Source organism: Homo sapiens, chromosome 4, assembly GCF_000001405.40.
Source record: "Homo sapiens chromosome 4, GRCh38.p14 Primary Assembly".
Taxonomy (NCBI): Eukaryota; Metazoa; Chordata; class Mammalia; order Primates; family Hominidae; genus Homo; species Homo sapiens.
Window position 1 is genome coordinate 45976056 of NC_000004.12, and position 12928 is coordinate 45988983.

A 12928-nucleotide genomic window follows, 5' to 3' on the forward strand; every position below is an offset into this window, starting at 1 on the left:
TATTACCATTGCCTCAATCTCATCTTTTTTGGTATTATTTTTATACATTTTATTTGTGCCTATGCTATAAACTTTAAAATACTTTGATTTTTAAGGTAATAAATTATATGTTAAAGAGAGTAAGCATAATTTTAAAATTATTTTATATTAATATATACCTTTACAATTTTTAGTGCTCTTCATTTTTTGGGTAGATCTAAATTGCCATATAATATCATTTCTTTCTGCCAGAAATCCCTTCTTTAAAATTTCCTCAATGATCATGCACAGTAGCTCATGCCTGTAATCAAAGCCCATTGGGAAACTAAGACAGGAGGATTACTCAAAGCTAGGTATTTGAGACCAGCCTGAGCAACATGGCAAGACAGAGTCTCTACTAAATACATAAGTAAATGAATGAATAAATAAATAAATAAATTTCTACATTTTCTTGAATGCAATTGTGCCACAATAGATTAACTCAGTACTATTTTGTCTTCATTTTAAAAATTATTTTAATTGATATTGATATGCATGTTGAATTATTTTTATCCAATATTTTAAAACAAGACTCACCATTATCTTCTGTCTTGCATAGTTCCTGAAGAGATATTTTCTATAGTTCATTATTTTCTTCTCCCTATTTAAGGATTATTCTTTTTTTTTTGGCTTTATACAAAAATGTATCTTTATTTTTGGTTTTCAGCACTGTAACTATGATATACCTAAGCATCTATTTATATCTGTGCTTCTTGGATTTCTCTGAAATTCCAAGAATTTGTTTGTTGCCTCTCATTAATTGTGGAAATATGGTTATTGTATTTTAAATTATTTATTATGTCTCATTTTTACACTCTTCTCTTTTTCAGACTGCAATTGCTATATATTAAAGCATGTGATAAAATCCCACATTTCATGGATGCTCTGTTTTGCTTTTTTACTCTAATTTTCTTTGTCTTTAGGATTAGATAATTTTAATTCGCCTCTCTTCATGTTCACTGATTTTTTGATCCTTTGGCGTGTTCATTCTTTTTAGATGTCAATTGAATAAATTCTTTTTTCCCCCTTGCTCAAAGGAAATATCTAATTAGGTGTATGAGAAGCCAGGACTGTTAAGAGTTCCGGATGGATCCATGCTGGGAGGCTGGAAGTGGGCTTAGAGCCTACAGGTTGTTCCAGGGAAGGAGTTTCTACCCTCTCAGGTGAACTGGAGGGCTGAAGAAGATAGTGAGTTCATAAAGAGCATATTTAGTATCTAATAACTTAAACTTGTTTTTGTCATTTACGTAGTTTTTTTTTATTTGAATTGCTCTGTCCTAATACAGTTTGAAAGGATTTATTATTTTTGTGTGTTTGTGTAATTTTTCACTTTTTTTTAATTATTATTATACTTTAAGTTCTGGAATACACGTACAAAATGTGCAGATTTGTTACATAGGTATACACGTGACATGGTGGTTTGCTGCACCCATCAACCCATCATCTAGATTAGGTATTTCTCCTAATGCTATCCCTCCCCTAGCCCCCCACATCCTGACAGGCCCCGGTGTGTGATGTTCCCCTCTCTGTGTCCATGTGATCTCATTGTTCAGCTCCCACTTACGAGTGAGAACATGCAGTGTTTGGTTTTCTGTTCTTGTGTTACTTTGCGGAGAGTGATGGTTTCCAGCTTCATCTATGTCCCTGCAAAGGACATGAACTCAGCCTTTTTTATGGCTGCATATTATTCCATGGTGAACATTTGCCACATTTTCTTAATCCAATCTATCATTGATGGGCATTTGGATTGGTTCAAAGTCTTTGCTATTGTGAACAGTGCTGCAATAAACATTCGTGTGCAGATGTCTTTATAGTGGAAAGATTTATAATCCTTTGTGTATATACCCAGTAATGGGATTGCTGAGTGAAATGGTATTTCTGGTTCCAGATCCTTGAGGAATTGCCACACTGTCTTTAACAATGGTTGAACTATTTTACACTCCCACCAACAGTGTAAAAGTGTTCCTATCTCTCTACATCCTCTCCAGCATCTGTTGTTTCCTGACTTTTTAATGATAGGCATTGTAACTGGTGTGAGATGGTATCTCATTGTGGTTTTGATTTGTGTTTCTCTAATGAAAAAACCCTAAAAGAAAACCTAGGCAATACAATTCTGCAAATAGGCAGGGGCAAAGACTTCATGACTGAAATACCACAAGCAATGGCAACAAAAGCCAAAATTGACAAATGTGATCTAATCAAACTAAAGAGCTTCTGCACAGCAGAAGAAACTATCGTCAGAGTGAACAGGCGACCTACGGAATGGGAGAAAAATTATGCAATCTATCCATCTAACAAAGGGCTAATATCCAGAATCTACAAGGAACTTAAATAAATGTACAAGAAAAAAACAAACAACTCCATCAAAAAGTGGGCGAATGATATGAACAAACATTTCTCAAAAGAAGACTTTTATGTGGCCAATAAACATATGAAGAAATTCTTTATCTCTGATTACATTACAACTTAACTTGCTCTGTAATACTACCAGATAGTTTTGTTCATAAGACAAAATAAGGCAAATTATTAACATGTATAAACACTAGAAAAATATAGTATTCATCACATTTAAGTTTGTTCCAGTTTTTTAGTTTTTTTAAATAAAAAGTATCTGCTCTGTAAAAGTTTTATGTTTTTTGCCTCCTTAGATGAAAAAGTACAATTGTGTGTTAATAAAGCAAGACTTCCAAACATTTAAGCAATGGTCACTTCTTAATTAGAGCAAAAAATCTTACATATTTTGTTTCATTTTTAATAAAATATTATAAATTATAAAGTAAAAACAAATGTACATCTCATTTGAAAATTATGTTTTAAAAAAGTCACTTTTATATGTATATGAAGAAATATAAAATATTGCAAAGCAGTATAATACAGGATACTTATTTTACTTTATATTTATACATATGCCCATTGAAAATTTAGCGATTTCAGGCCGGGTGCAGTGGTTCATGTCTGTATTTCCAGCACTTTGGGGGACCGAGGCAGGTGGATCACCTGATGTCAGGAGTTCCAGACCATCCTGTCCAACATGGTGAAACGCCGACTCTACTAAAAATCCAAAAAATTAGCCGGGCCTGGTGGCAGGCGCCTATAATCCCAGCTACTTTGGAGGCTGAGGCAGGAGAATTGTTTGAACCCAGGAGGCGGAGGTTGCAGTGAGCCGAGATCGCGCCATTGAACTCCAGCCTGGGCAACAGAGTGAGACTCTGTCTCAAAAAAAAAAAAAAAAAAGAAAAAGAAAAAGAAAAAAAAAAAAGAAAAGAAAAAAAATTCAGGGATTTCAAAATAACTATTTGTTGGACAATAATGAAATTGCAGAGAATATGGCCAGTATAACCAAAGATAGCTTTGTAAGAACACAGTACAAACTGAGGTAATACCTGAATATGTTTTTCTCTTTTCTTTTTTTAAATGGAGTCTCTGTCGCCCAGGCTGGAGTGCAGTGGCGCGATCTCTGCTCACTACAAGCTCCGCCTCCCGGGTTCACGCCATTCTCCTGCCCCAGCCTCCTTCGTAGCTGGGGCTATAGGCGCCCGCCACCACGCCTGGCTAATATTTTGTATTTTTAGTAGAGACGGGGTTTCACTAAGTTAGCCAGGATGGTCTCGCTCTCCTGACCTCGTGATCCGCCCACCTCGACCTCCCAAAGTGCTGGGATTAGAGGCGTGAGCCACCGCGCCCGGCCCTAAATGTGTATTTATTTTAACCAAGTCTAGAAAAGTCTAGAAAAAACAATGAATAAGGAACTATTCCCCTAATCATCAGTCCAGTGATGTCATCACACATGACATATTTTCTAGGAAAACTTTACTCATAGAAGGATGATAGTAAAGTAAAAAGACAAACCATACCTTAATTTCTTACAACTTTTTTAACCTTGCAGACCTCATGAAATAGTCTTGGTGATTCTCAGCTGTCTATAGATGACACTTTGATAACCACTACCTTAATGCTTCATTTTTGCCTCTTTAAAACTTTACGCTTTTTTAAATTCAATTTCTGGTTATGATTTTTGATATCAAATTTTCTCAGATAAAATAACTGACAAAATTCTGCCTGATTCACACCAATTTAGTGATTGCCTCAGAAGAGCACTAGGAAGGGCGGGGTTTTTTATGTCATACTTTCTCAAAATGAAAGCATTGCCTGGCCGGCTGTGGTGGCTCACTCCTGTAATCCCAGCACTTTGGGAGGCTGAGGTGGGCAGATCACGAGGTGAGAAGATCGAGATCATTCTGGCTAACACGGTGAAACCCTGTTTCTACTGAAAATACAAAATAATTAGCCGGGCGTGGTGGCGGGCACCTGTATTCCCAGCTACTCGGGAGGCTGAGGCAGGAGGAGAATGGCATGAACCCGGGAGGCGTAGCTTGCAGTGAGCTGAGATCACGCCTCTGCACTCCAGCCTGGGACACTGAACAAGACTCTGACTCAAAAAAAAAAAAAAAAAAAAAAAAAAAAGCATTGCCTTTGGCTCTCATCTAGACATGTTATATGACAGGGTTTTTTGAATTTCGATCATGCAGAGCTACCCTGCACTTGCGTCTCAAAGGTTTAATCCCCAAATTTCCCATAAGTAAGATTTTACCACAGAGCACAAGATTGTTTCAAAATGGCAAAACTTATTCTACAAACAATGAGATCTGGGGCCAGTGACAGGCTCATTAGCTCAACTCTATAACTTCTTTTAATTTATCTTATTTCTATAAACCTGAGTTTATTAGTTTGTGAATGGGAATAATAATACAGTCTCTCAGCCATACTGATATTTTGAGCTAAATGTGCTAATATATTTGAAACTGTTTCATAATTTTTAAAACTTTACAATGCTATTATGTTTAGTTATTATATTATGTTTAGTTATTATGTTTAGTTATTATGATATTATGGTTAGTTATTATGTTTAGTTATGATATTTGTACAATTTTAATCTTAATACATTAATCAATAAAAAGAAGTAAAAATATTCATTAAAAGTTGATTAAAGCTTTTATTCAAAGATGTCATAAATGAATGAAATAGTTGCTTGTTTAAAATTAAATCTTTACTTTTTTATGTTATATAAGCACAACTTCTCAAGGAAGAGGCGCACATTAACTCAGTAAACACTTCTTATGCACCGCCTGAAAGCCTATCACACATTTTTCTTAATTTGACTACTGTGCATATTGCATTGAGAGCCTTTTTAAAGATATGGGATAAAATGAAATATTTTACCTTTAGCTATGTGAGCTTTTTATATACTAACTTTAAGAGATAATTTCTGTGAAAAACAATTTTTTTTTAAGCAGCATATGTAACAAATGTGAATAAATTAGTTCACCCTTAGAAACAATGAAAATTGCTAACATTACATTCTTACTACATGGACAGCATTGTGCTGAAAATTTGAACATGTATTGTCACCATTATTCCTCAGACAACATAACACTATAAATACCATCATAATTCTCATCTTATGCATAAGGCAATTCAGTCTCAAAAAAATTATTTTTTCCAAAATCAGACAGCTAGTTGGCTAGAATCTGTGAAAACATGTATATGACTTCAGGAGCCATGTAATTTCATAACCCACACTCAGCAATACATTACTTCTAATTAATAATAATAATAGCAATATTACTATCTGTGAGAATATACAATCTTTGGAATTATTTGCATTACATCATAGGTTAATGAAAATATTAATGGGGACCTTCAACTTACTGAATGCACATCATTGTTAGGTCCCTTTTTCCATGATTTGGAGTAAAGGAGACAATAATTAGAAGTTTGTCCCTCATAATAAGCTCTATTGAAGATCCTACTGCAAAGGCAATGGTTGCACAACAGACTTCTTTAAATTTCCTTGCTAAAGTTGTACTAGATCATAAAATTGCTCTAGATTACCTACTGGCTGAGTAGGGAAGAATCTGTGCAATTACTGACACTTCTTGTTGCACATGGAAGAATACACTGGGTATTACAGAGTTTCAATTTCAGGAGATTATCAAACAGGCTGCTTGGTTAAAACAAGTAAACTCTTCCTCTGGATTATTCTTTGATCTATTTAATTTTAGTTGATTTGCTTCATGGGGACCTTGGCTAAGGAGTGTATTCTAAACTCTTGGTATTATCCTCCTGAGAGTCATAATAATAGTCTCCCACGTGGGCTTTATTGTCTCAAAAGTTTTAAACATTTCCATGCAGCCATCCATAGAATGTCAAATGGTCTCTCCTTAACTGGAATGGCAAAAACTCAAGAAATTTGTGATAATTAGGACACTGTAACCTATGAATGACATGCTGAAACTGGAAACCCAAAATGATGGTAACTGAGTGTAGTGCTAAAGCTCTAAGTTTTAGTCACACTCTTACCTAGGTGACAACCTGACCAAAAGAGGGGAATTAATCAAAATTATGGAAGGCTGTTGTCTTTGACTGAGTGTGTGCACCAATCCTCAGCAGACCAGACCAAGCCAAAATGGAGTCAATCATGCTACATGCCATGCAACCAAACTGAGACTTTAAAGAACCAGATAGATCCCAAGACAGACCAGTTTTTGTTTTTGTTTCTTCTGTCTGAAAACAGGAGATTCCAGCATAATAAGGAAGTGCCCTCTGCTTTCATCTTTGATGTCAATGTTTAAGGTTTTGGTCAAATTGAGAGGTTGAGTCTTGACCAATCACTGAAGGTCAACTCTTCAAATAAAGCAAACACAGAGCTGTAACAAATCCAGCTGTTTCTGGGTGAACTCAGGTCAGTTTTTTGTACATCGCTTTCCCTTTTCTGTTCATAAATATTGTGAGACAAAGTAGCAAATATAAGACACCATGTTTCCTCATTTCTGCTTGCTAGCATAATTTCACAAAGCCCCTGACTCTGTGACCACGTGCAGCTTTCCTGAAAGATGTTTGAAGACAGAACAGGATAGAATACATGGTCCCCATAGCTCTTGCCTGAGTCACTACATTTCTTAAAGGATAAGTGACTCTAGTGTTTGCCTTTTCTTGCACATAAGATAACTTCTGATGAGGTTAGTGATTATGCCTCTGTAGTCTAAAACCAGATGTATTCTTACATGGAAATCTTGATGTAATTCTGCTTTAACATAACTTTTGAGAAAATTTCATGTCATTTTGCATGTTCTGAACTTCTACCACCTGTATATAAGCTGTGAGCTGAAACACTGTTTTGCAGCAGTATTACTAAACTGCTCCCCTGCTATAAGCCTCAGTTTATAGTCCTCCGTAAGACTTCTAAATGAAACTAACTTTAATGCTTTAAAAGTTTGATTTTTTTTTTTTTAGTTGACAATATTAACCCACCATGTGTCAGCCCCTGAATCACTCTGAACCTATTGTGGTTCGGGGGCTGCCAGATTCTCGAATCGTTTTTTGCTCAGTTAAACTCTTGTTAAATTTAATTTTTCCAGAGTATGTCTTTCAGACAATTGAATGGTTTCAAGATACTTGTTATTGCTAAGAAAAAGAGGACTTAACACTTCTTACTTTATCTCAATTGAAACATGAATCTGTTCCCTCTATGAATCAGCAGTCATTCTTTACTCTTCAGAGAATTTGAATTAACCTGGCTGATAAGGTTTGGCTGTGTCCCCACTCAAATCTCATCTCTAAGTGTAATCCCCACATGTTGAGGGAGGGAGGTAACTGGATCATGAGGGTGGTTTCCCCCATGCTGTTCTCATAATAGTGAGTGAGTTCTCACAAGACCTTATGGTTTTATAAAGAGCTCTTCCCCCTTCTCTCTCTCTCTCTCTCTCCTCTCTCTCTCTCTGTCTCCCTCTCTCTCTCTCATCTACCGCCATGTAAGACATGCCAGCTTTCTCTTCTGCCATGATTGTAAATTTCCTGAGGCCTCCCAGCTATGTGGAACTGTGAGTCAATTAAACCACTTTTTTTAAAATAAATTACCCAGTCTTGGGTATTTCTTTATAGCAGTGTGAGAATGCACTAATTAATACACTGGCACAAGCAAAAAGAGAATTGTTTTTGCTCTTTTAACTGAGAAGTCCAGAAGTTGGGCTGCCTTCAGGCATAGCTTGATGTACAGGCATAAATGATATGCTTAGCATCTGTTTTCCTCCCACGTACTGGCTCATCTTGACTCTTCTTTAGTCTTTGGTGCTCCCCTATGACAGGCTGAAAAAATCTAGCTGCAGGATGTCAAGACTTTACATTCTCTTAGCTTTGATTCCCTATGAAAGGACAATATTCTCTTCAGCAGGATTCCCAGGAAAATCTGATTGTTTATTATTGGTTTAAATTTAATACCAATCCTAAACACAAACTTCTGAGAGAAGAATATGAGTTACCAATGGGCTTAGGGCCAGGTCACATGATCCACTCCTGTCTTGGGTTAGGTTACCCAGAAATAGATATTGAGAAAAATGGTCACTGTGTAAGTGATTAAGGCACAAACCAGACAGGAGGACAGAAAAGAAGAAACCAAGTAAGGGTATGATTTCAGCTGAGTGCAGAAAAAGATGTTTCCAACCTTTTCCTACAGAGAAATCTGCGGTGTAATTTTTTCTTACACTTATAAATTACTGGCCATACATAAACATAAGCTCCAGACTTTTCGTGCATGAGAGCAAAGTGGCTCCAGGTTTCTGAGGTTTGGCCAGTGGAAGCAATTTCACATAGAAGCTGGGCAGGCAGCACACAGAAAACTAAAAGGATCAAAGCATTTGGGCAGCTCACTAACGATGTTTGCTATAAACGCTAACGGAAAGGGGTAGCTAGAGGTCTCACGCTAAGGAAAACCAGGATGCATTCCACCAGAATATGAATAAAACGAGTGCTGTGTAGCACAAAACAAGAAATGTGCATTACATGCTTCAAATTACATTTTGGAAATCAATCAAAACACTTTTCAGTAAAATATTGCCTAATTGGTTAATAATAAAAATATTAGTTTTATATTTTAAATGGTAGTATTAGTGAATTAGCAGCTTTGTAGGGTAGAATGAGCATAAATTTTCAAAGAAAATTCTTAGTTCAGAATCTCATTTAGAGTGTACATTTGGACAAATTAATTAACCTTTCTAAGCCTCAATTTTCTTATCTGCAAAGTGAGAGTTTAAATAAGACCTCCTTCACTAGTTGCAGTGAAGATCAAATGAGATAATGAATGCAAAAGAGGTTTTGTAACTGTAACAATGTTTGGAATGTTAATAGGTCCACCTTTCCTATTAGTATGTAAATATCTGATGGCCATGACCTTATCCTCCTCTACAATTCTCAGTGTTTAGCTTAATACTGACACTTAATTTATACTCCTTGGAGATTTAATAAGGAAAAATATATTTGGCAGCCTAGAGCTTTGCTTTGGTAGCTGTATGTTCATAGATATGATTGTTTTATACCAAAATTTCCATTTTAATAGAAATACATTTCAGAGTTTTTGAGGCTGTCCTATAGCCTTCGTAATGAGAAAGAACAAGGACTATGAGGAAATATGGCTTCATCTCCTGTTTTAGATTTTATGATTTTTTTGTTTTACTGAGCAGGAATTAACTAGACATAAACTATAAACATTCAAAGCAGTCACTTGCTGTCAGAGCTGTCTGATTTCTTCAGAAAATTCAGTTTGTTTTGTGTCTGGAAGTAAACTATCTACTAGTGTTTTTCACAACTAAAAGCATTATCAACGTTTTCTTGAGGAGAAGTGGGAGATATTGGGAAGAGAGGACAGAGAGAAACAGATAAAATTATAGATAAAAGATTCCAGGTATTACAGTGACTAATTGTCTAGACTTTAGAACCAGACTATCATTATTTTAGCTCTGTGCTTCAATTTCCTCATCTGTGAAAGGGGATAATAATACGGCTTTTATAAATTGTGATAAAAAGAAATAGTTTTAATGCATATAAAGCATTTTATCAATGCATACATTTTGTTTGACCCTAGTATATTTATTGTTAGCCTAATTACCAATGAACAAAATACACTCAACACGTTGTAGAGTATCCGTGAGCATTAACTACAGAATATACTAATATCTGTAAGGAAAAAGACAAACTGAAAGGAAAATGTCATCCATTTAAACCAAAGCAATATATATATTCAGTGCAATCTTTACTAAAATTGCCATGTTATTTTTCATGGAAATAGAAAAACAATCCTAAAATGAGCATGGAACCAGAAAAAACCTTGAATAGCCAAAGTAACCTTGAGCAAAAAGAACAGAGCTGGAGGTATCATGTCTGATCTCAAAATATTTCACAAAGTTATAGTAATCAAAACAGCTTACTGTTATGTCAGTTTGTTATGTCAGTACTAATACTGACATAAAAACAGACACATCAACCAATTGATAGGATAGGGAGCCTAGAAATAAACCCACACTTCTAAGGTCAATTGATATTGAACAAAAGTGCCAAGAATACACTATAGGAAAATAACAATCTCCTCAATAAACGACATTGGGAAAACTGTCTATTTACATGCAGAAAAATGAAATTGGAATCTTATCTCATACTATATGTGAGAATCAACTCAAAATGAATTAAAGATTTAAATATAAGACCTGAACCAATAAAACTTCTAGAGGAAACATTGGGGAAAATCTCTGTAACATTGGTCTGGGCAGTGACTTCTTGGATATGACCTCAAAAGCATAGGCAGTAAGAATAAAAATAGAGAATTTTCTAATTATATCAAGTTACAAAACTTCTGTGCAACAAAGGAAACAATCAGCAGAGTGAAGAAACAGTGCACGGATTGGGAGAAATATTTGCGAGTCATACATCAGATAAGAAGCTCATATTGAAAATATATAAGAAACTCAGACTACTCACTAACAAGAAACAAATAATCCTATTAAAATGGGCAAAACATCATTTATAGACTGGATAAAGAAAATATGGTACATATACACTGTGGAATACTATGCAGTCATTAAAAAGAATGAGATCATGTCCTTTGCAGAGACATGGATTGAGCTTGAGGCTATTATCCTTAGCAAACTAACACAGGAACAGAAAACCAAATACCGCATGTTCTCACTTACAAGTGGGAGCTAAATGATGAGAACACATGGACACATAGAGCAGAGAAACACACACTGGTGCCTTTCAGAGGATGGAGGTTGGGAGGAGGGAGAGGATCAGAAAAAATAACTAGTGGATACTAGGCTTAATACTGGGTTGATGAAATAATCTGTACAACAAACTCCCACGACACAAGTTTACCTAGGTAACAAACCTGCACATGTACCCCTGAACTTTAAAGTTTTAAAAAGTTGGCAAAATACCTGAATAGACATTTTTTCAAAAAAAAAAAAAAGACATACAAATGACCAAGTATATGAAAAAATACTCAACCTCACTAATCAAGAGTGAAATGAAAATTAAAACCGTGAAACCATATCTCTTTATACCTGTTAGAATGGCTATTATCAAAAAGATGAAAGATAAGCATTGGCAAAGATGTGGAGGAAAGGGAGTACTGGTATAATGTTGGTAAGAATGTAATCTTATACCATAATTTTGGAAAACAGTATGGAAATTTTTGAAAAAATTAATAAAATTCACATATAATCCAGCAATTCTACTTTTGGATACATTTCCGAAGAAATTTAAATCAGTAGGTCAAAGTTATACTCATTGAAACATTATTCACAAAAGCCAAGATATGGAAACAACTCAAGTCCTCATCAATGAATGACTGAATTTCAAAATGTGGTGTACATGTAAAATACAATAATATTCACCCTAATAAAGAAAATCTTGTCATTTGCGATGCCATGGATGATTCTAGAGAACATTATGCTAAGTGAAAAGAGCCAGGCACAGAAAAACAAATACCAAATTGCCTCACCTATATGTGGAATCTAAAAATGTAAAACATAGAAGCAGAGAATAAAATGGTTATCAGAGGATGATGATAGGGAAAGATAGGGAAAGGGGAGATGTTGGTCAAAGTGTACAAAGTTTCAGTTAGGAGGAATAAGTTCTGGTGATCTATTGCACAACATGGTGACTAAAGTGAAGAATACATAAGCACATTGCAAAATTCCTAAAAGCAATTTTAAAAGTGCATCTTAAAAGTTCTCACGACAAAGAAATTACAAGCATGTGTCCTGTTATTAATTAGCCTGATTAACTAGGCATTGTTAATCAGCTTGTGACCATTCCACAATGTATACATGTATCAAAACATCATCACATTGTACCTCATAAATATATACAATTATTTGTCAGTTAAAAATAAAATAATATAAAAAATTTAAAATAATAAGTTAATTAAAATCAAATAATTTTTTAAAGAAAAGATAAGGAGAAAATTTCATCTCACGCTTTTCTTAGATAATTTACTTTGGAAAATTTGTAATCATTAATTCTTTTTCCATCCCTTTAAAATTCATTTAAATCCCTTTAAAGGCTAAAATAGCTTTTTGCTAGCTTTATAGCCAAGGTGTGTCTTTCTTAAAGACCTGAGAATCATCTCATTAAAATGTAAACATCCAAGGATATGGCACTCCTTTCTCAGAGTTTCTGTAGGTGAATAGGTGCCTAACTTGTGTTGGCTCCATGTTGCAAAACTGACCCATCCTAAAAGTATGAGAAATTTATTTTGTATTTATATAAAGACAATTAATTAATACAGGTGAATCATCCCAATTACTGGGTGAATTAAAGATAAATTATGTGTAACAAATTGTGTTGTCAAGTTCTCCTACTCAAGGACTAGTTATTATTTATCTTAAGAACATGTAATGAGTTTCGTTGCTTGGCTATATAAAATGAGATTTCTGTTTGTCTTTGAAAACTTTTCGAAGATTGCTTGTGATTGTGCATCATTTTCTGATTTAATGCTCACTCAATAATTAAAATATCTTTTTGCCTTACTACATTTATGGAGTTAAAAAAAGATTTTGTTTTTGGTATATTTTGCCAACAT

At 34.8% G+C, this 12928-nt stretch overlaps 1 annotated feature.

Moving 5' to 3' along the window:
- Positions 8921-9458: an enhancer, noted in NCBI's record as "OCT4-NANOG hESC enhancer chr4:45986993-45987530 (GRCh37/hg19 assembly coordinates)". NCBI's record gives its function as "activates a minimal SCP1, AML or CMV promoter by ChIP-STARR-seq in naive H9 embryonic stem cells {active_cell/tissue: H9 hESC(naive)}" and the evidence as "EXISTENCE:reporter gene assay evidence [ECO:0000049][PMID:30033119]".